Here is a 24,420-nt window from a genome sequence, read left to right as displayed (position 1 = left end):
TACATATTTTTATCTCTGGAACAAATACCTCAATGGTATCAAACAGAAACAATAAACAATTGACAATCTGAGTTAATTTTATTAAGAGAAAATAAAAATGTACTATTTTCATTTCCCAAGGTGCTAGATATTTTTCTTGTTTCAAAGGATATACCTGTTAGACTTAGGGTCATCCCTGAAGGAATTCTGAATTGACATTTTTATTGCTACTGTCTTTGAAACAACCTATATTTTAAGAGCACTGACATGAAAATAAAGAGACTTAATTATTAGTATTTTATAAATTTTTACAATAGATTTTTTGTAGTTAATCTGAAAAAATTAACAAGTTTTTAAAATATTTTCTCACAAAAACGTCATGAATCTTTAACTTGAAAATATAGTCATAATAGCAGGTACACTTACAAAAAACAGTGGCAGATCATTTCATAATATAAATATTAAAATTCAATGGTTTTAGTGTGTTTCATTTAAATAAAGGACCTCTTCAGAATTATAACTTTTTATTCATTTTAAAACATGAAAGGTTTTTGTATATTTATTAGTGGCAAAAAAAGAACGAATCATCCAAAATTATGTCTATAAGCCACAGAACAATTAGTTAATAGCTATATAGTCTTTGTGAATATTAATGTATCCCTAATACACTCATTATAGATAACATTAATCATGACATATACATTAAAAGCAGTTTAATTATTTTTACCAAACATGTTGAGAATCTCAGAGATGTTGTATCACCTGTCTCTTGTTACGTAACACATTATCCCAAAACAACAGTACTAATTACTTCACAATTTCCCCGCATTAAGAGACTGTGCCTAGCTTAACTGGGTCCTCTGGGACTCTTACATGACTACAATCAAAATGTCAGCTGGGATTGCAGTCATGTCAGGCCTTGATGGGGGTGGGATCTGATTCCAAGGTCATGCATATGAATGTTGACAGGATTTAGTTCTTTGTAGCCCATTGGCCTCAGGGCCTCCATTCCTCACTGGCTGTGGGCAAGAGGGTCATCCACTCTCTTGACATGTGGGCTTCTCCACAGAGGTAGCTCGTAACATGAAAGCTGGCTTCATCAAATCTGGTAAAGAGAAGCAACAAAGAGAGTATGCAAGTGAGACGTATGTCACAATCCTTTTAACCTAATCTTGGAAGTGGTGTCCCATCATTTTTGCCATATTCTGTTTGCTAGAAACAGGACACAAGGTCTAACTCACTCTCAAGGGGAACAGATTACCCAAAGATGTGAGTAGCTGGAGGCTGGTGTACATGACAGTCATTTCAGAAGCTGCCTTCTGCACAGATGTTAGGATATTTGAACAGGTATTTTATAGGGTTGTAAATTTAAAATAACAACACAGTTTGTGTCTACATAATAATACCAAACATTCTGACAAAAATAAAAAGTAGTTCGATAATTTACATGTAGCCAAATTATCAGAATCATAACCTGATGAATTTTTTAAATGACGATTTCTCCTTTTATTCTGGGGCTCCTTTGTATTTAACTTCAAAGGTACTGATAGATGAATATTCAGCTAGAGAAGGATTGCTAACTTCTTGTTTGCAATAAAAGCTCTGTGATTACAAATGCTTCCAGCTGTGGGAACTTAGGAGGATATTCACGCAGAATATGCCAATACACCTTCATAATGTTTACTTGGCAAATCTAGGACTAGTCTATTTTTGTTTGTTTTCCCTAGAATATATATTGAGAGCACAATTGTCAAACTGGCTCCCTTTATGTCAAAATACAGGGAATAGAACTTCTTACTCAATTCCTAGGCTAGGAATCTTTGCTATAATAAATTTGAGCTTATCCAATAGAGATTGATTGGCTTTTTTATAACAGGTAGGTATTATATGTGAAGATGTTAATTTTTATATAAGCGAGTGATTTAGATAGATATAATAATCTATATATTTGCAGTCCATATTCAGCAATAACATTTTTGCTGTAGTAGTGTTTTTTCTTTTTAAATTCACTATTGACCTATAAATGAAATAATGAACCAATCAAATAACACATTTTATTATTTATCCATCTTGATCTTATTTCTTTTGCTAATGGTTTCTTAAATTAATTCCAAATCTATTTTATCCACATTTCTTCACTGATTTATACATTGATGTTGAATACATTTACCTTTTTAAATCTAATTTATTACTCTAATTAGTTTAAACAAATTATTTATGAAGGAGTCAGTGGAGGCAAACACTACATTTAGAATTAAATAAATTAATCACTAAATAAAAAAGTTCAGCTGGTGGATGATGATTTCAAATTCTTGCTTACCCAATCCTACCAACCCTTCCCATCAGAATGGCCTGTTAGAAGATAGCAACAAGACTCATCAATTATGCTCTCAACAAAAAGGTTATGCACGTATAAATTAACAAGGTTGTTTTTTATTATGCTATTAAAGTAATTTATTTTGCCAACATAGTCCTGCAAAACAAAAGAAATATTTATATTCTGTTCCTGTTTTTCTTAGACCATACCTACCTAAAAAGAAATTATTTTTAACAAACGTGGATTAAATTACAAGTTAATTAAAATATATTATGTTAAATTGAGAAATAAAACGAAGATATTACCACCATAGAAATGGTTTCAGTAGAATAATCATTTGACATTATAAAAATAATCCTCCCAATCCCTGACATGCTTCCCAATGCATCTTAGTTTCTGATTTTGTATTTGTTGTTCTATCATTTTCCTTTTCTGTACATATGTATGGTACAAAAGTATTGCTTTGGTTTTCAATATGCAAAGTACATTTCAGTTGTAGTAAAAAATTATTAAGTTCCCACTAGGATCAGAAAACTGTATTATGAAGTCTGAAATCTTATTTATAAAGTTGGAAAAAAAATATTTCCTCCAAGAAGGTCATTTAACTTTTAATTAAAAAGAGAAATAATTTATTTTTTATCCAGGTCTGATATCTAGACTTTTATTTTATTAAAAAATATGGAACTGTGAGGCTGTATGATTGTATAATGAACAGAAAATTAAAATAGAACCTTTATAAAAAAAAAGGAGAAATACTATTCTTGGTTGAATTTGAATTTTAGTGTATAGGTTTTCCGTTAGTATATAGCTTTTAACTTCTGCCATTTTCACAAAATGGCAATTTTTTAAAGAAAAACCATGACTGATATAAAAGTTGAAGAATCACGTCTATTTTAAATTTTAATCTGAAATTATTTGAGGTAAGTAGTCTCTAGATGAAATTTCATGGCAATCTCTATTTGTTAATGGTCCTGGCATCATTAGTTAATGGCATAAACATAGAAATAGATGAAACAAAAGTGAAATGTTGACAAATTCCTCCCAAACATAAAGACTCTCCTTAAATGAAGAAATACAAACAAAACTTTAAAAGTCTTCCACATATAGACACAGAAAGAAACATACAACAAAATATGAAAAAATATACTTAGAATACCATATATGTAAGAAACAAAGAATGCACTTATTCTCTTGTCAATACACTTACAGATGTCTATAAATGTGTATAACTTATTATGTTTATGTAAATATGTATTTAACTGTTTTTATGACAAAAATATGTAAACTATGAGAAATAAAACAATAGCTTACTATGAAATTCATATTTAACAATCTATAGAACTGGATTAAAAGATCAAAAACCAAGTTTGAAGAAACTTCAGTAATGTTGACAGAAAAAAGGGATCACTTGAGCCCTCTGCAGATAATAATTATGAAAACTGGCTAAATATGTCTTAATGTATCAGAAAGAACAAATAAGGTAGAAAGATTATTCTTTAAAAAAACTGCAATTGGAAGGGGTAAGAGTTCGAATTTGAATCTGAATTTGAATTTTTTTAGACTAATTGTCCCTCCATCTTCCCTTGGCTTTAGAGGTAAAAACTAAAACAAAAAACACAGTATTATTTGTTCATTGTGCCCAAAAATATAACATTGAGGCAGATAGTTCAGTTAAAAATACAAAGGAAAAAATTCTGGTAGCAAGGGGGGAGTACAGAATTAGTAAGATTCAGAGTATAGACATAAAACTTGGCATATCATTGACTGAATTTAAACCATGCACATGTAAAAGAAATAATAGGGAGCCTGGTGAAGAGATAGGCAGAGGCTGAAATATAATCTATTATTGAAAGTTAGATGTGTACTAGACAAGATATATAATTTTTCTGCTTAACAGTGTGTTGCTTCATAGAAAGCCCAAGTCTTATATGCTTCAGTTGTCAGGAGAGAGTGCCCAAGGCCAGCTAAGCAGCTGGAAAGGGGTTAGACATTCTTAGGAACAAAGAGAACAAAAAGCAGTAATCCACAAATTCCACAAATCTCACAAATTGAGGAAAACATGTAATGTCTACTCAATATATTTATGTAGACATATATATATATATATGTCATATATATATAATTTTGTGGGTAATTAACTGGGTTTATGTTATCTGAATATTTTTATTTCTTCTTTAATTAACCAGTGAAGAATTATATCGTTTTAAAGTATAATTTTGGAGGGATATTTTATTCATTCTTTTCTGTGCATTTATGAAAGAAGTAAATTCCTTCCATAGGACCTCAGTTTGTCAAATTGCCAGGATTTTATTAATTTATTTAATTATTACTTACATCCAATAAATTCAGCTTCTTATGCAAGAAAAACAATCTGTTAGAAGATAGGTTTTTTGCCCTCCTTATTAAATTATTTCTCATTATCTTTGTCTTTCTATTCCCTGTGTATTCTGATCATATTTTTATTCTTCTTCACTTCTTTGCTCTTTTGAATCAGTAAAGCCCATAAGAGATGTGTACATTTTCACCTAGTGTCTATGATATTGACTCCAATTTTATTCAAGCGTCTATAAACAAAAATACACATTTGCAAAAGGTAACTGGAAATTTTCGCTCAGCTTCAGTGAGCTCAAATAGCAAGTCTCATTACCATTTTCAAGGTTACTATACATGGATTTATAAACATCTCTATTCAATTATGGATTGAACTTCTGATATACAAAGTTGTTTTGATAAATTTTTCCTTTTAAAACTAAAACCATTATTTCATTTGCTAGAATATTTTCAGGATTACAAACTTTATTTTTTGTGTGTTTGGTTAAAGGACAACTTCTGAATAATATTTAACTCTCAACACAAAAGCAAATACCAACCAAAAAATTATTTGGTAATTATTGTGAATTTCAGGCAGACACAGGCAAACACGTTCTCTTCTCCTTTTCTCACTTCTTCCTTCCCTTATTCTACTTCCCTTTTTTACTTCTTCCCTCCCTTTTTGTTACCTTCTTTTCTTTCTTAACTTTAACAAATAATCATTGATACTAGGTGTTGTGTTATGCACTGAGGATGCATTTTTGTTACAAAATTGTGACTGGGAGTAGTTTAGCTTAATTTGGGTGATATATCTGTGCTGGGTTGGCAAGAAATAAATGCTATGTGGTAAATATAAAACTCATTTTGCAGTATAGCAGAAGGCAAACCCAGAGCATTTGTAGAAATCAAAAGACTATTGAGCTATCTAAAACACATCTCAGTACAACTATACCATCTCGGTATAACTATACCCGGGATTGTGCAGTAGCTAGGATTTAATTACTTATTGATGGTTAATGTGTATCCTGAGTAACAACTGAGAAGCCAGTAATGTTTGAGCATTACTATTGCCCTCAAGTAACTTACAGGCTACACTGTGTAGTCATAAAAAAGTATGGAACCAAGTCCTTTGCAACAACATGGGTGGAGCTGGAAGCCATTATCTTAGTGAAATAACTCAGAAATAGAAACTCAAATATGTCATGTTCTCACTTATAAGTGGGAGCTAAACAGTGAGCACACATGTAAATAAAGATGGAAATAACAGACTAGCAATTCCAAAAGAGGGGAGATTGGAAGGGGAGTGAGGGTTGAAAAACTACCTATTTGGTACTATGTTTTAACCATTTGGCTGATGGGTTCACTAGAAGCTCAAGGAATCATATTCAGTAATGTAACCTACCGCCTTGGAGGCTTCCATCTGGGACCATTACCATTGCCCCACAGAGACTTGAAGACAGGAGGAATTGACTATGCTGATGCCGATGCTGTCTGCTGTGACATTCATGATGAAGTCATTTGTCTCTGATCTAAGAATCTCATGTCTTCTGTCTTCTAATAATATCATTAACATTGTTACAGACTAACTTTGAGACTGGAAAGTAGAGTAAAATCATAGACCCTCATGTTTCTGGAACATCATAATGGACATCAGGAGGTAAGAAAAATGTTAATAAAAGTATCCCAAATCCAAATGCCAAAAAACGCTTATTAAAACCCTACAATAGTTAAAATACAATAAATGTAGTTGACAAGTGTGTTCAGAGACAGAAGGAAAACCAGACTTTGTATCTCATTCTACCTGCTGAATGGCATGAGTGCACGGCCAAGGCTGGTGGGGGAGTGACTAGCCACAGCCAGCTCGTCTGTTCAGGCCTCCAGGGCTGAAACCTCAAGCTCATTTTCAAATCATTTTTCTCATAACATCACAGGACTCTAGAAGAAAAGAGAAGCAGTTTTTGTTGAAGTTCCAAAATACTAGTGTTTGAAAATATTTATTTTTGTTTTGACTGGGAAACACTACCCAATACTTGTAAAAAACGACCACGCTGTAGAACAGAAGTTTTTCTAGAATTTCTAATTTGATAATCACCAAATATTTCAGTTTAGCTACCCATTAGAAAGTTTTTCCAGTTGCAATTAATGTGGAGGAAAAAGCAGTCTGTTCTAAAATCAAGGGTTCTGGTTAGGTAGACATGTAATGTAGAAAAAGAAGACATTTTCCAGGTTGACTGAAATGATGGAGCAAGATTAAAAAAATACAAAGATTCTGTTAACCTTGGAAAAATGTATATTGAGAAGTAGCCGGGATTGGCTTTTTAAATTTCGGAATTTGGTTTCATCCTAACTTACAAGGTGACTGTTACATGCTTCTATATTCACTGTGTACTGCAATATTGGAATGATGGGTTTAGAACTAGATCTTGGGTGGGATGAACCTAACACTTAGGAACTGAAGAAACAACAAACGTTTTGACAGATAATGGCCCAGTAGAAGCTGCTGAAGAGGACTTGCTCTGAACAAGCCGGACCTGATGGTTGTATTGAGAAGAAAAAAAAAAAGGAAGTGAGATTATGCTTAGTGCCAATTTAAAGATATATTAAAGGCTTTAATATATCTGTAGAATTAAAATACAATGAGGAATAATTATTGAAACGCTAAATGATATCAGCAAATTAGAGCATTTTACACAAATAGCATCCTACGTTGGCTATGTTAACTTTTTTTTTTTTTTTTTTTTGAGAACGGAGTTTCACTCTTGTTGCCCAGGCTTGGAGTGCAATGGCGCGATCTCGGCTCACTGCAACCTCCGTCTCCCGGGTTCAAGTGACTCTCCTACCTCAGCCTCCCTAAAAGCTGGGATTACAGGCATGTGCCACCAAGCCCGGATAATTTTTTTTTTTTTTTTTTTTTTTTTTTTTTAGTGGGGACGGGGTTTCTCCATGTTGGCCAGGCTGATCTCAAACTCCCGACCTCAGGTGATCCGCCGGCCTTGGCCTCCCAAAGTGCTGGGATTACAGGCATGAGCCACCGCGCCTGGCTTGATAATATTTTTGAAAACATTGCATCATCAGTATAGTAAGGGGGAAATGAAATTTTTAACTTTGTCCATATTACAGTGTTCCTTCTGTAAAATAATTAGATGGATGAAATGTCACAGTGTTTTTCTTGGGAACATACAAGTAGTGAGGCTTTTGTATTATGGTAAAGAATACAAACTGCTGCTTCTTTAGTAATGTGGTTGCATTTATAATTGGATGTCATCACTGACAAACATCTCTGCCTGAGACCAGGATAAAGGATGGTGGAGATAAGGTCAGAAGCAGTTACCAGGCCCTGCCAGTGGAGCTTTTTGGATGTCGCTCCCAAAACTATGGGCTGTCAGATATACGGGCAATGAAAGCAACACAGAAACCTCACCAGCAGAGAGCTAGAAAATCAATGCAGGCAATTAGTTCTTAAATTTTCCCTTTAGAAAGTTTATGTTCCATGGAGAAAACACCTGGACGTAGTTAAGTACTGATGTCCTAGCCACCATACCTGGCTCACCTTATCTCAGGGTGGGCCCTCCACCCTGGCCATTTGACTTGGGTTGGCTTGTGTGTTGCACTTTGACCAATGGGCTGTGGGAGATGGTGTGTACACCACATACAGTGGAAGCTTGATGTGTTTGCCATTTTTGAAAGCTCTTTAGGACTTGCTTACTTCTCCTCCTGCCTCCATCCTAGCTTTTCCCTCTACCTTGTGAGATTAACCACAGCTACCCACATCCCCTTGTAAAGGGAGCAAGATGTAAATGTTTAGGCAAACCCTGAGAACCAAGGCGTGTTTATTGCTGCAGTAAAGGTTCAATAATCGTGGCTTTTGCTGGATCTCTGTGTTGCTGTATATTTTTACTTCACTGTTCTTGCAAAGTATACATATTAGGAGCTTGAGAAAGAGAAAAAATGTTAAAAGCACACTTGTAAATTCCACAGGAAATAAGGAGAAACAGACTGGAAGGCATTAAATCACTCAGAGCAAAATAACAATTGGCTAAACCCTTAAACACCAACCAAGGTAGAGATGGGCAGACACCGTTGTACTCACTCTGCTAGAAGAAGAATGTTCCATGTAAGGCAGCCTATTCTCTCTGCCTGTCTGATCCCTCTGCCTTAACCAGGATAGGCCCTGGAAATTACTTCACATCTGGCATTAATCAAAACTTCCAAAAAGGGCTACTTTCTTAAATGTTTGTGTCCAGTATGTGTCGCTGTTTCTCTCTCTCTCAATAATCTGTATCTCTATCTTTAACTCTCTCTCTCAGGCTCCATCTCTAACTCTATTTGTCTCTCTCTGTCTCTTTCTAACACTCTCGCCATATCTCTATCTCTATAAGTCTATTTTTCTCTCTGTCTTTATCTCTAACTCTCTCTGTCTCAGTCTCTATCTCTAGGTCCATATACCCCTTAGGGTTCTTTGGGGATTAAGTAAATAACCACATATAAAGCAGTTTAACATAAACAAGCATGTGGCAAACAGTATATAAATACTTTTTTAAAATAATTACTTAGGAAACGGTTCTGTCTCTTGAAAAAGCTACCTTTGCGAGTCTCAGAATCACCCATGCAGCTGGTACCAGGACAATTAATGCACTCAACACCTCTCATCATCATTTTGGGAATACATAAAGTCACCCATGGAAAATCACGGTACGGGTACCATATTTTATCTCAGGGAAGCATAGATTAGACTGTTCAGACTACATCTTGTCTACAAGAAAGTTATATTTATAGTCTCTCCTTCTGCTAAATTCACAAAGACAAAAATCTACCTGGAGGTTTCCAGCCAATATCCTACTCTGTGTAAAGGAGATACAAGTGGCAGGAATATCCTACATTTTCTAAATGTTTTCCTAAATATTTTCATGAGTCTACAGTAGTAGACCCTGTATTCAGGGATTTAAGATCATAACTATGCTCTTACAGGAGGCACAAGGAACAGTTTTGTGTTATCCTGTGTACATTATGATCTAGACCACATTCCTTATGGGTCTAATTAAAGACTGTGTCAAGTGCATTACTGGTTTAGAAATATATCCTTCTAAATGCTAATGTGGGTGCAGTGAGAAAGGTACTTTTGTACATTACTAATATGAGTAAATATGACTACAAACTTTGGAAAGTAATTTGCCAACATCAATCAAGTGGCTTAAATTATTCCTACTGCATAAATTTCACTTCTATCAATAAGTTCTTGGCTTTTTTTTGTTTTGTTTTGTTTTGTTTTTCAGACGGAGTCTCCCTCTGTCACCCAGGCTGGAATGCAGTGGCACGATCTCGGATCTCGGCTCACTGCAAGCTCCGCCTCCCAGGTTCACGCCATTCTCCTGCCTCAGTGTCCTGAGTAGCTGGGACCACAGGCGCCCGCCACCAGGCCCAGCTAATTTTTTGTATTTTTAGTAGAGACGGGGTTTCACCGTGTTAGCCAGGGTGGTCTCGATCTCCTGACCTCATGATCCACCCACCTCGGCCTCCCAAAGTGCTGGGATTACAGGGGTGAGCCACCGCACCCGGCACTTCTATCAATAAGTTCTAAGGAAATAACCAGAGAAATTGACCACAATGTTAATAATAAAATTATTTATAAAAGCAAAACTGGGGAAATTCAATGGTCAGTAGAATCATGGGTGACTACATTATAATGCAGACATACATGAAATATTTTGCAGACATAACTATACTTTAAAAAAAATTAGTAACATGGGGAAATGCTTACAAAATAATGTTACTTGAAAAAAAAGAACCAAAACTAAACATATACCAAAAGCTAATTTATATTTAAAACAGTATATATAATTTACATAAGTTATCCAACACACAGAGAGGGAAATATCTTGGAAATGCATGTTGCATACTAAAAAATATTTATGTATTTGTTTATGATTTCTGGATGTTTTTCTTTCTTTTTTTTTTTAATTATACTTTAAGTTTCAGGGTACATGTGCCCAACATGCAGGTTAGTTACATATGTATACATGTGTCATGTTGGTGTGCTGCACCCATTAACTTGTCATTTAACATTAGGTATATCTCCTAATGTTATCCCTCCCCCGTCCCCCGACCCCTCAACAGGCCCTGGTGTGTGATGTTCCCCACCCTGTGTCCAAGTGTTCTCATTGTTCAATTCCCACATATGAGTGAGAACATGCGGTGTTTGGTTTTTCATCTTTGAGATAGTTTGCTGAGAATGATGGTTTCCAGCTTCATCCGTGTCCCTACAAAGGACATGAACTCATCATTTTTCATGGCTGCATAGTATTCCATGGGGATCCGTGTTCATTTTCTAAATATCTGGGCATGTAGTTCATTTCTCTTTATAAAAAAGTAAGATTTTTGAACTTCGCTGTAGTTTAGGTATTCAAACTCTATAATAGTCTGTTGGACTACCATTCCACTAGTCATAAAGTAATTTAAAATGAGATTAATCTGCAGTAATCATTCTAATTAAATCTGTTTTGATTTCTAGCAATCATTTGTTGTAAGTGCTCAGAGACCATTCACTTGAAACAGTTTACACTTTGACGTACTTTAAACTCACTGGTCTATAGTTTGCAGAATCTCATTTCTAATAAAAACATTTTTTTTGGTCTACTAACACTTAAGTGTTAGTATATTTATATATTTTCCTTACTTTTTTAACTGTTTATAATATAAACATCAATTTATTGTGGAGAGAGCATACCTTCTCCCTTTTCTTCTATCCAAATTGATAGTGCTTCTCATTTAAAATGTTATCCAGGAGGTCTGTGTTTTACAATTCCCAGATTATACAATGGTCTTTTATCTTCCTTTTAAAATAGAAAATACCAGCCCAAGAGTCCATCCTTAAAGAACCACAATCAGACATGATCTTTGTGAGGTATGGATGGGAGGTAGACTAGTTCAAGGCTCAAACCGGATGGGCAGGTGAGGTGAGCCCTGAGGTCTCCGCTCAGTGCTGCCCCCAGTGTGAGAGGTGGCTCTGAGGTTAGCCCTTGGCTAGGTCATGTTTTGAACATGTGGTTCCTCCAGAGATGAGCACCTGGTAATGTTTCGGGGTCAGGGGGCGCCACAGTTGGGTTTCCATCACACAAGGGACATCCTTGAATATATTGCTCCATCTTTTGTTCTGTTGTATTTGGCTACCAATGACACCATCAATTATTGCTTGTCCAGTGACTTCTCTTTTCTCTTGATACTCTCATGTTTGTTTCAAATCTATTTCACGGGAAAAGGCTTTTTAAAAAAATTCTCATACTTTCCTGATTTGACTTAAAGAAACTACTGGTTCTTCATTGTTGTTATTTCAAGGCCTACGGCTGCCCTCTTCACTTTGTTTTTTTTTAAAACTTTGATGAAAGTTTACTAAATTCCTTTTTTAAAAAAAGTTTCCCCTGTTTCTGGGACAAAGAGAAAAGCAAAACAAACAAACAACAAAAATCAAAGTTTCTTGCTTTTCTGGGTCATCACAATTTGAATGTAAAAACAAGATTTTCAAATACTTTTTATTTTGAATGAAATTCAAATGAATAATCATCTTGGCCTTCTGCTTTTTTGTAAAGCAGCAGAGGAAAATTCTAGGAGAACTTAGCAACTCATTTGAATTTCTTCCCCTCCTTTGCCTGAATCTTTGCCTCTCGTGATCTACATGTCAGAGCTCCTACTGTCTTGTTTCTCCAAGTAGATGTCTTCTCTTTGGAAAGGCCCTCAGGCTCCATAGTTGTTTTCTTTGCATGATTTCCTACAGAGCTTGAGCACTTAGCAAACACTCTTGATGATGCCCCTCTGTGCCTTTAAATTTAATTTATGAATCATCTGTATACTAGAGACCTGCTGTTCTGTGTCAGCTGCGCACATGGTATTTTCTGCTGTTCAGAGCCACAGTGCTGCGCTCTCTTCCATAGCAACTTACATATTACAGGAAAATTACCTCAATGAGACTTCAATACCAGAGCAGAACTATAAAGGAGGTATCTGAAATAGCTGGCATTTCATCCACTCAGTTCCTGAGATAGGGAAGCTTTGTGTTTTCCTTTACAATTTTTTTGCCTTTTTACTTCATATTTTATTTTATTGATGTATAATAATTGTAGATATTTATGGGGTACAGAGAGATATTTTGTTTCATGTATACAATGTATAACGATCAGGGTAATTAGCATATCCATCATCTCAAATAGTTATCATTTTTTGTGTTCAGAATATTTGAAATCCTCTCTTCTAGCTATTTGAAAATATAAATAAATCATTGCTCACTATGGTTACCCTATAGTGCCACAGAACATCAGAACTCATTCCTCCTATCCAGCTGTAATTTTGTATCCACTAACCAACCTCTGCCTCCCTTCACCCATACCCTTCTCATCCTCTAGAATATTTTCTTAAACAAGATCAGTTCCTTGGTTTTTAGCGTGTCTCTTTTCATCTTTTCTTAAATTTAACATATTGTTAATTATTATCTTTATTATTTATAAAATATATAAATGAATACAAGTAAAGATATTTATTTAAAGTTGCTTATACAACATTCTTTCGGTAAGTTATATACAATAATCTTTAAAGCCACAGGATTTGCTTCAAAATTTATTTGTATTTATGTTGGGTTATTTCTAGTCCAATTGCTGCCAACTGTATGAGATGTTAAAAAATAACTAAAAGATTATAGAAAAATATTTCAATAGATTGTTTTCCTTAGGTACTTTTAGCAACAATAAATTTCTTCCTTACAAAGTCTGAAGTCTAGTATACCAAGCAGGGAAATCAAAGAATGTTCCAATTACAGCGGGGAGAACTATTTGGAGCTCACTACCCTCACTTCCTCATTTTCCCCATACTTGCCACTGGGATGCCTAGAGATACTTCCAAGAAACTCTGTAAGTCTGGAATAAGACAGTAGAAAATTAATATTTTAGAAAATTATGTCTATATGGAACCCTGCAACCACCAGCCACAGTAACCACATATAACTGCAGTAGCCACTGCTACTTCACATTTCAACATAAATTCCACCATTCTGCTTCTTGTGTGCCACCTGATAAAGAAATATTTTATTCCTTTCCCCTGCTTTCATTCATCAATTCACTTCTACTGAAGTCCAAACCAAAGAGGCAGCAGAAACCATGTAGTCAAAAGGTAGCCACTGCAAATTCATAATGTCGCCTTACAGAAAGCACTTGAGACACGGTGTTTCCAGTGCTTATGGTTTGAATAATCGGACATTCTACGACATCATTAAAACTATAAAAGTCAACACAAAAATTCTAATAACATGCCTTTGAAAAATAAACATTGATCAGTTGAGGAACAGGCAAACTTCAAGAAAGCTACAGAAGGAAGAGATGCATTTCAATTTTTACAATCAATTAACTTTTATATTCTGTCCAAAACCATGGAGGTAATAGGAAAAATCAGAATATCCACATTACTTAAATTGATTTTAGAATGAAACATGTATGTCAGAGACAGTTACCCAACTGAAATTGCACAAAGAGAAATTTAGTATTTAACTCTTATTACAAAATATTTAGGCTTTTGCTAGAATAACAATTTCATATACAATGAGTTTACTTTGCTAATAAAATAAGAGACATTGAAGACTTTATATAAATATTATTTAAATTTATGTAATAATCCTTAGTATGTTTCTCGATATTAAAAATAATTTAAAAAAGCTTTTTATAAATTGTTTTTGGATGCTCTAATACTATATAAATGCTATATAAAAGCTTTCAAAATTGGGAGATATATATTTGACTATTTTGCATTTTATTAAAGAATTTCTCAGGTTTCTTTAACAACCATTTGTTCTTATTCAAAATATAACACTTGTGATATAATAAGCTTGACTTTAAGAAGTCAAACCACGAAATATTCTGAGGAATAACATATATTATGATTTGATGATGCTAAGGTTTCCTTCACTGGAGTAAATTGGTCAAATATGAGTAAATTGACCAAATAGGTATAGGTATAGATATAGACACATATAAATATAGATGCTCCAGTACCTAGTACAAACAACTAATTTGAGAAGCTAGGTGGTGGTTAAGCACAGGCATTACTAGATTGCTGACATTTATTGCTTTAACTGTCCAGCATGTCCCCACTGCTTTTTAGAAAACTGCCCATACCCTCCTACCCTCACAACTATCATGGGAGCCTCACAATAAGATAGTAGGGCAGAAGTTTTTGCACATGTTTTGTTGGTTTGCCTGTGGTCAGCAGACACAATCTAAACCAATAACCATCCATCTCTAGGAAAAGCTGAGAAACAGGCCTAATATACCAACTCAGTAGAATGCTCTGAGGATATATAATAAACAGCTATTTATGTAACCATTTTTCTTCTTTCTAGGAACTTCGGACAGCAGTTAAGTAATACATTTTAAAATGGAGTAAAATAGCAACACAAATTATAAATTATACAGATGGATAAAGAGCAGCATGGAGAGACAAAAAAAGAAAAAACGTGACAGAATCTGATATTTGATTTCTGATCCCAATGGAATGTCTATCCTTATTTTTCGTAAGATATACCAATGCCTTTATTATAGGCTCACAGTTGACTCACTTTTATTTTATCTAATTCAAGCTGGTTTTTTTGTTTAGTCCCTAAAATATGTTCATATTTAAACATTAGTTTTAAAAATTAGCAATGTTGCTGCTGAATATAAAATATATTATCTCTAAATAAGATCACCGTATTATTTCACAAAAGCACAATAAATGTTACCCATTTTCATTTGTTTAATTTTCAAGTAAAACATTTATTTGAAGAAAAAGCATGTTAATATATAAGCAAAATATAACATTTGAATGATACATGCTTGTCAACTTCTAATGTGTAAATCAATGCTCACAGTAGAATTTTACACAACAGCAAAAACTGGAAGCAATTCAAATGTTCATAAATAGGAACGACAAAGGTGTATCAATACAATGGATGTTATATAACACTCCATAGCAATGAAACACAGCTATACACAATAGGACAAATTTTAGCAAAATAAAAATAGCAAAAAAAATTTAAAAGATTATACATAGTACGATGCACATTTGAAACTATCAAAACAACTAAAACACAAAACTGCATGTTAGCAATAGATATAGGTAAAATGAATGTCAATGAAATTATAGACAACAAAATGATAATCATGAGATTATCATGACTGGAGGAGGAAGTCAGGGAATAGATGGTTAGATATCAGTTAGTGAATATGCTACTTTTTAGAGTATTAGTAGAAAATATACTGAAAAAGAAGTTAAAAAAAAGCAGGTCATATATGATGAGAATGTATCAAAAGCTAACAATTGTTGTTAATCTAATTCAGTTTTTAAAAATCTATTGTTAGCTCGACCTTCCCCTTGACACACACAAGTGATACATTATACAGCATGTTTGCAAGTTTAGGCAGAAAAATTGGATTAGCACATATTTAGTAAATTTTCATCAAATATTGTGAAACATATTTGTTGTCCAATTTTTTTAATGGAAATTCTCCTAAAACCTGTATTTTATATTTTAAATATAATATTTTAGAATTTATTTACTATAACATTTCAAATGGTTCTAATACTGTCAAGTATAAGGTGCATTTTATTTTCAAAGTTAAACATGAGAAAGGGAAATGAAGGTCACAGATGAGATGAGATAAGGGTCAGATAGTTACAATGCAAAGCAACACAATAAGAGGGAGGTGTTTCTGCTTCTGCTTGTCTACCTAGCTCAGTTATTCAAGTCTGTGTTCCTGAAAATATTATTTTTAGTTTACATGACTTAGAAGCCAAGATTTTACTCAGCAGAGATTGAATTATACTGAACCTGAACCATGAATTGGTAATTTATGCACCTGAAACATGCTTGAAAATTATGAGCAAGGTGACCTGATGGTATTTCTAAATAATCGGCCCTCCCACTTCCTAGGAAATTTCACCTTTATTACCTCAGCATGATGCTTTCCATCTTACAGCTCATCAGAATGGGCCCACCAAGGATTTTGCTGGTAGTCTGCCTCACATGTTCTAAAAAATGATTGTTATTAAAGAAAAAGAGAAATGTATTTTTCATGTACCTGATTTCTATTATCATAAGAATGATCCTGACTGAACTACGTTTCTTTTGATTGTGATTACGACTATAAATAGTATAATTTGGTTCCCTTGCTCTCTAAGTGGAAACTAAGATTTTTTTTCAGGCTACCGATTACGCTACACTGACATTGAAGCTTGATCAACATGATTGTGTGTTACTAAAGTGTATTCTAAGAGATCTTTACAAATAGGACAATATCCCATCTGAGAAGTAAATTTAAGGTCAGGACCTTTTTGTAATAATTTTTGTATTTTAAGAGCTTAGTTCCTTTCAGTCTATTAACTATATGTTATCTTAGTTATCAGTAGTATTTTTGCTCAAATTAAAATTACTAACAGTTTGAACAAGATATATTCACGGTATATCTGGGATAATGCCATTAGCTGTGATCAGCAAGAAAATATACAGATTATTGTTTTTCAACCTACAGATAATCCCAGTAATTGCTCTTCAAGGTGACCCTCCTCCCTGCTGCCAATCATCAAGTCTTTTTCCATCCAATCATCCTCCGTGTGCGTTTAAATATCTCTTTTGTACATATATTCAAATTATTCAATCTTTCACTTTTCCTCACTTCCTATTATTTACTATTTCCTTTTTCTCCCTTACTTAGCCATGTTTATTCTTTCTGATCAAGCTAAAACCTCACTTTCCATAAAGAATTACTTAATAATACTATTCCAAAATAATCTCTCCTTTTGTGAACTCCTAAAAGTCAGGACTTCAGCCACTCATGTGTATCTTTAAAACCTTATATTTTAGTTACTTAAACATTTGTCATGACAATCCTATTAGCCTGGAAATTCTTGGAGCAGGAGGCTGATACGCTTTTCAACTTTTCATTTATCCTTCCCTTCCCTGATAAAAATTAATAATAATGGTCTCTGCTGTGTTCTTATTTATTTATCTCATGCCAAATAGTCTTCTATGAGCTGCCTTTACAGTGATGAACAAGATTAATGTGGCTTTTTATTTCATTGAACTTCTAGTAGTGACTTAGATATTTTATTAAAGAAACATTTATTAAATTTATACATGAATTTCAGATTCTCCAAATTCAGTGGTAATGCTCAGATATTGATTTTTTATAATTGAGTTCCAAGTGAAAATATCACCTTCTGTTCCTATAACTTCAAAGTCTAAAAAAATTATAAAGTGATATATGTGTAAAGTGATGATTAATTCTTCTATTTAAGAGTCCTTTTCATTGGATGCAAACTATATTCCTCAAAAATAATATTCTAATTTCTAATTTGAATTTTTCATTACCTTGAATAATTATTAAAGAAGTAGAATTTGTCAAAATTATAAGAAATTTCAGCTACTCATTTTGACCACACAAAATCCCCCAGTTTTTAATCTGATTGCAATTATGTGAAAAAACAAACTTTTTAAAAAGTAAATTGAAGGTGGTTTATGTCCATTCAAACGCTTTCTTAAAACAAACAATGCTTGAGTGTCTTAAAGGGCAAATAAAACCCTAAGTCAGAAATTAATTTTTCTTTTTCCAGGAGAGATGGATTTCATAATCGCAGATATTTCTTCTTTGCTTTCTATGATTTTCTTGCTAAGTCTTAGAAGCTGCAGTTTTAAGAAAAGCATTTGAAATGTGTTTGTAACCTGAATGTGAGAAACTGGTTGTATTAGTCTGTTCTCATATTGCTAAAAATAAATACCTGAGACTGGGTAATTTAAAAACAAAAGAAGCTTAACTGGCTCACGGTTCTGCAGGCTGTACAGGAAGCATGGCAGCACCTGCTTCTGGGGAGGCATCGGAATCCCTACAATCATAGACGAAGGCAAAGAAGGAGTGGACACATCATATGGCCAGAGCAGGGGGAAGAGAGAGTGAGGGGAGGTACCAGATATTTGTAAATGACCAGGTCTCATGAGAATTCACTCACTATCATGAGGACAGTACCGAGGACATGGTGCTAAACCATTCAGGAGAAACCCACTCCCATGAGCCAATCACATCCCACCATGCCTCACCTCCAACATTGGGATTTACATTTTTTTTTTTTTTGAGATGGAGCCTTGCTCTTTTGCCAGGCTGGAGTGCAGTGGCATGATCTCAGCTCACTGCAACCTCTACCTCCCGAGTTCAAGTGATTCTCCTGCCTCAGACTCCTGAGTAGCTGGGACTACAGGCATGTGCCACCACACCCAGCTAATTTTTGTATTTTTAGTAGAGACGGGATTTCACCATGTCGGCCAGGATGTTCTTGGGATTATATTTTGACACGACATTGAGGCAGAGACAACATCCAAACTATAACATTCCATCCTAGCACCCTCCATGTCTTTCTCACATTGAAAAATACAATCATCCCTTCTCAATAGTCCCCAAAGTCTGGAATCATTTCAGCATTAACAGAAAAGTCCTAAATCTCATTTGGAAATTTATTGCTTTCACAAATGAATCTATAAAATCAAAATAAATTATTTGTTTTCAAGATATGATGGGGGCACCAGTGCTGATTGGGTAAACATTCTCATTCCAAAAGGGAGAAATTGGCATAAAGAAACAGGGTACAGGCCCCATGCAAGCTTGAAACCGAGCAGACCAGTTGTTAAATCTTAAAGCTCCAAAGTCATATCCTTAGACTCTATGTCCAGCATCCAGGGCACACCGGTGCCAGAGGGGGGCTCCCAAGGCCTTGGGCAGGTTAGCTCTTGGGGCTTTGCCGGGTTCAGCCCCAAAGGCTGCTCTCATGGGCTCGTATTAAGTGCCTGCAGCTTTTCCAGGTACAGGGTGCAAGCTGTCAATGGTTCAACCATTCTGAGGTCTGGAGCATGGTGGCCCTCTTCCCATAGTTCCACTAGGCAGTGCCCCACTGAGGACTCTGTGTACAGGCATCAATCCCACATTTCTTCTCTGCATTGCCCTAGTAGAGGTTCTCCATGAGGGTTCCACCCTAGCAGCAGGCTTCTGCGTGGACATTCTAGCTTTTCCATACATCCTTTGAGATCTAGGAGGAGGCTTCCAAGCCTCAACTTTTGGATTATGTACACCAACAGGCTTAACAACCATGTGGAAACCACCAAGGATTGCCATTTGTGCCCTCCAGAGTGGCAGCCAGAGTTGTACTTGGGCCCCACTTAGCCATTGCAAGAGCTGGAGCAGATAAGATGTGGGAAGCTGTCATGAGGCTGCAGCAGAGCAGCGGGGCCCTGGACCTGGCTCACAAAATCAGTCTTCCGTCCTAGGACTCCGGATCTATGATGGGAGGGGCTGCTGTGAATGTCTCTGAAATGCCTTGGAGACCTCTTCCTATTGTTTTGGTTTTCAGAAGCACTTGCTACATTTTTAATTATATAAATTTCTGCAGCCTGCTTGAATTCCTCCTCTGAAAATGGGCTTTTATTTTCTACCATACAGCCCGTCTGCAAATTTTCCAAACGTTTACACTCTGCTTCCCTTTTAAATATACGTTTCATCTTATTTCTTTGGTCTTGAATCTGAGCATAGGTTGTTAGAAGCAGTCACACCACCTCTTAATCACTTTACTTCTTAGACATTTCTTCTGTCACATACCCTAAATCATCACTCTTAAGTTCAAACTTCCACACACCCTTGGGGTATGAACACAACCCAGCCAAGTTCTTTGCAAAAGCAAAACACATGTGACTTTTGCTTCAGTTCCCAATAAGTTTATCATTTCCATCTGAGGCCTCCTCAGCCTGAACTTCCTTGTCCATATCACTATCAACATTTGGGTCACAACCATTTAAATAGTCTCTAAGATATTCCAAACTTTCCCTCATATTCCTGTCTTCTTCTGAGCACTCCAAACTCTTCCACCCTCTGCCTGTTACCCAGTACCAAAGTCATTTCCACATTTTCAGGTGTCTTTATAGCAATACCTCACTCCTGCTAGGAATTTTCTGTATTAGCTTGTTCTCACATTGCTGCAGTTAAATACCTGAGACTGGGTAATTTATTAAAAAAAGAGGTGTAATTGGCTCATGGTTCTTCGGACTGTACAGGAAGTATGATGCTCGCATCTGCTTGTCTTTGCAGAAGCCTCAGAAAACTTACAATCATGGCAGAAGGCAAAGGGGGAGCAGACAAATCATAGCCAGAACAGCCGAGAGAGAGAGCGGGGGAAGATGGTACACACTTCTAAACAACCGGATCTTGTGAGACCTCGCTGTAGCGAGGGCAGTACCAGAGGTGTGGTACTAAGCCATTCAGGGGAAACCTGCCCTCATGATCCAGTCACCTACCACCAGTCCCCACTTTCTAAATCTGGGATTACATTTTGACATGACGTTTGAGTGGGGGCACACATCCTAACTACATTTCTGGTCAAGCAAACGTGTGACAAAAGAAAGCTGAGTGCAGAAAAAAATAGAAAAAGAAACTATTTTTAAACAATGTGAATATAAAATGAATATTTAAGGTACATGTACAGTTATTATTTCACATGCCTCTCAGCAATGGAATATAGTTTGAGAATTATAGCTTGTGTAATTACATTTACTTTCTTCCTGATTATACTGCTATTGGTGAGCCAGAAACTTGTAAATTATTCAAACAAGCATAATTTTAACTTTCAAGAAGTAAAGGGATTTGTTGGTGTTGAGATGTGCAAGATGAGATCAGAATAATGCTGAATTTGAGGCACAATGCTCATTTTTTATTGACAGTTTATTACCAACAGATGGATAGATTTCTTCTCCTTGGTTTCAGAAACCAAGTCATATGTATTTCCCTTTTAAAAATTGTTCATTTTTAAATACAGAGCACATCCCCAAATGTAATATAAAATATAAACTGTGTAACTATATGGTCAACCCAATATCACCCTCTTGAGGTAAAATTTCTGATACAAGTATTGATAGATATTACTGATCTGATATGCCTTTAATTGACTATAAGTAAAATGTGTAAGAAATGCACATTAAATTTACATTGTCATATCATGTATATAGGATATATATAGACACAGGCACAATATACACAGAAGAAAATATTTATCAATTAAATTATTATGCCAGCAGCAGTTGGATAAAGTAGTGCTTCCATTAAGTTGAATAATAGCAAACTGCATTTAATACATGATTGCACAAAACTCTATCAAAAATTATCTGGCAAGATTTATTGACTGGCTGACACGTAAGCAAAATAAATAATATAATGACAATAACATTTATATAATATACACATAATAAGTAGTTTGGATAAGGTTGTCCCTTTTTTCGGTCTTATTCTAAAATAGTTTACAGTTGTACCATGAGGAAACAAGCCATCAATTCAATAACATGTGAGAATATTATTTGCAAAAACTAAATGTGTTTAGAGAATTATATCCAACATGACCCATATGAAATCTGTGACTACATGACCTTCTGTTAGCATTATTTTATTTAACTGAAAAATAGATTTTATGATACTTAGCAACATTTTCTTTTTGTCTACATCAGTAAAAAACAAAAATAAAAATAATTGCAATATTGGCAAAAAATCATTTATGAGCTATTATGCTATGTAAATTATTTCATCTCTGGGTCTCAGTTTTCTGATATGTAAAATGGGGATAATAATATCATTACTTTCTAGGAATTTGATTAATGAATATTAATTATAAAGTGCTTAGAAGAGTTTCTGGTCTATATAAAGAGATCAATAAATGTTAGCAGTATAATTTTGGATACACACTGTATGTTCATTCTCACGCTGCTATAAGAACATACCTGAGACTGGGTAATTTATAAAGAAAAGAGGTTTAATAGGCTCACTGTACACACATGGCTGGGGAGGCCTCACAATCATGGCAGAAGGTGAAGGAGGGGCAAAATCATGTCTTACATGGTGGCAAGTAAGAGAGCAAGTGCAGGGGAACTGCCCTTTATAAAACCATCAGATCTCATAAGACTTATTCACTACTACAAAAACAATGCAGGAAACATCTGTCCCCATGATTCAATTACTTCTCACCAGGTCTCTTCCCCGACACGTCGAATCATGGGAGCTATAATTCAAGATGAGATATGGGTGGGGTCACAGCCAAACCATATTACACACAAAAAGGAAATTAAATGTATTCATATTAGAGTTTTTAATTAAGCACCTAATGCCTCAATCCAAGCTCAGTGATACATAATTAACTTATTTTGTTGCTTACTGTATTAAAGGAAAGCAATTTAATTACCCCATAGGCATTTTTTTTCTTCATGTGTCACTAACATATATTACTGGACCTTAAGGACGTATCTTATAGATGATGTGTTTTCACAACATGCTACTAAAAGACCAGTATAGGAGGCATTATATTCTCCAGGAATATCTTATGTATTGTAGACGCAGCTTGTTGCATCCTTTGCATTGAGATAAATGTAAAATATTTAACTAATTATGTCAATTTATGTTGTTAGAATAAAATGCTGTTTGAAGGATTGTCAAATTTTAGTTATTAAAAGTCTATATGTACTTAGAGTCTGTCCAAAACAAAACTGAAACATTAGATCAAACATGTCACAAGAAACTTTTTTTTAACTAGAGAAGGATTATTTTTCCTCAAAAAATGTTTTTACTAAATCATTGCTTTCAAATATTTCTGTTATTGTTTTTCTTTTCGAAAGTCTCATAGCTGGCCATCTGTTGCATCTCCAACAAGACTTTACTATTGAGATTCCTCCATATAGTGCAGTAGAATAAAAACCTTCACATGTGTCAGAAAACAAATTTTCACCTATATTTATTGTTGAAATTCTTTAATTAATATTACATATTATATGATGCCACTACTTTAGATTCTGTTGTCAATAAAGAACCAAAGCAATAATCAAGAAAAACCCTCTATCTTCTGCACCCCCCCAGTGACCAGACACATTTTCATTTCTATTTTTATAAATATTTAAGTTTGACAACTACAACAAGAGTTAAAACACAGCATCTGCACCATCTCCTTCTGCTACTAATTGTGGATGTTTTCCACCAACTTCTAGGAAGAAAATCCCACATATAAATCTCCAGTCATTGGGACTTCACTCAATCACCTGAAAGCATAATTACTGCTATCAAATAGAAACTACATAGAACTCAGTATGTTTAAAATCAAAGTCAAAGAGTTCTACATCCAGAATTTCAGTGTAAGGAGCTCTAAACACCCACTCCTTTGCAAAACAAGCCTAACTGGTAAAATTATTTTTTTAAATTGATCATTTAAATTCTCTGGAAATTGTCCTAGGTTCATATAATAAATTAACAGACACTTCTCAAAAGAAGATGTGTAAGCAGCCAGAAAACATGAAAAAATGCTCAACATCTCTAATTATCAGAGAGATACAAATCACAACCACTATAAGATACTATTTGTATTAGTCCATTCTCATGTTGTTAATAAAAACATACCTGATACTGGGTAATTTATAAAGGAAAGAGGTTTAATTGACTCACAGTTCAGCATGGCTTGGGAAACCTCAAGAAACTTACAATCATGGCTGAAGGAAAAGCAAACACGTCTTTCTTCACAGGGCAGCTGGAAGAAGTATGAGAGCTGAGTGAAGGGGTAAGCCCCTCGTAAAACCATCAGATCTCATGAGAACTGGCTTACTATCATGAGAACAGCATGAGCAGCATGAGGGTAACCACCCCCATGATTAAATTACCTTCCCTCCCATGACATGTGGGGATTATGAGAACTGCAATTCAAGAAGAGATTCGGGTGGAGACCTAGCCAAATCATATTACTGT

At 34.9% G+C, this 24,420-nt stretch overlaps 1 long non-coding RNA gene across 1 annotated transcript; it reads right to left on the bottom strand.

The window, feature by feature from the left end:
• LINC01916 (long intergenic non-protein coding RNA 1916) lies at positions 1-24,218 on the bottom strand. Its single transcript, XR_001753544.3, has 3 exons — positions 24,160-24,218; positions 6,408-6,541; positions 1-1,084 (listed from the first exon to the last, which is right to left on the bottom strand). It is a non-coding gene; the product is annotated as a long intergenic non-protein coding RNA 1916 (long non-coding RNA).
• Positions 24,219-24,420: the final 202 nt, after the last annotated feature.

Source organism: Homo sapiens, chromosome 18 (genome assembly GCF_000001405.40).
Source record: "Homo sapiens chromosome 18, GRCh38.p14 Primary Assembly".
Taxonomy (NCBI): domain Eukaryota; kingdom Metazoa; phylum Chordata; class Mammalia; order Primates; family Hominidae; genus Homo; species Homo sapiens.
Note: the sequence above shows the minus strand (reverse complement) of the source record. Positions and strands in the feature narration are given on the sequence as shown.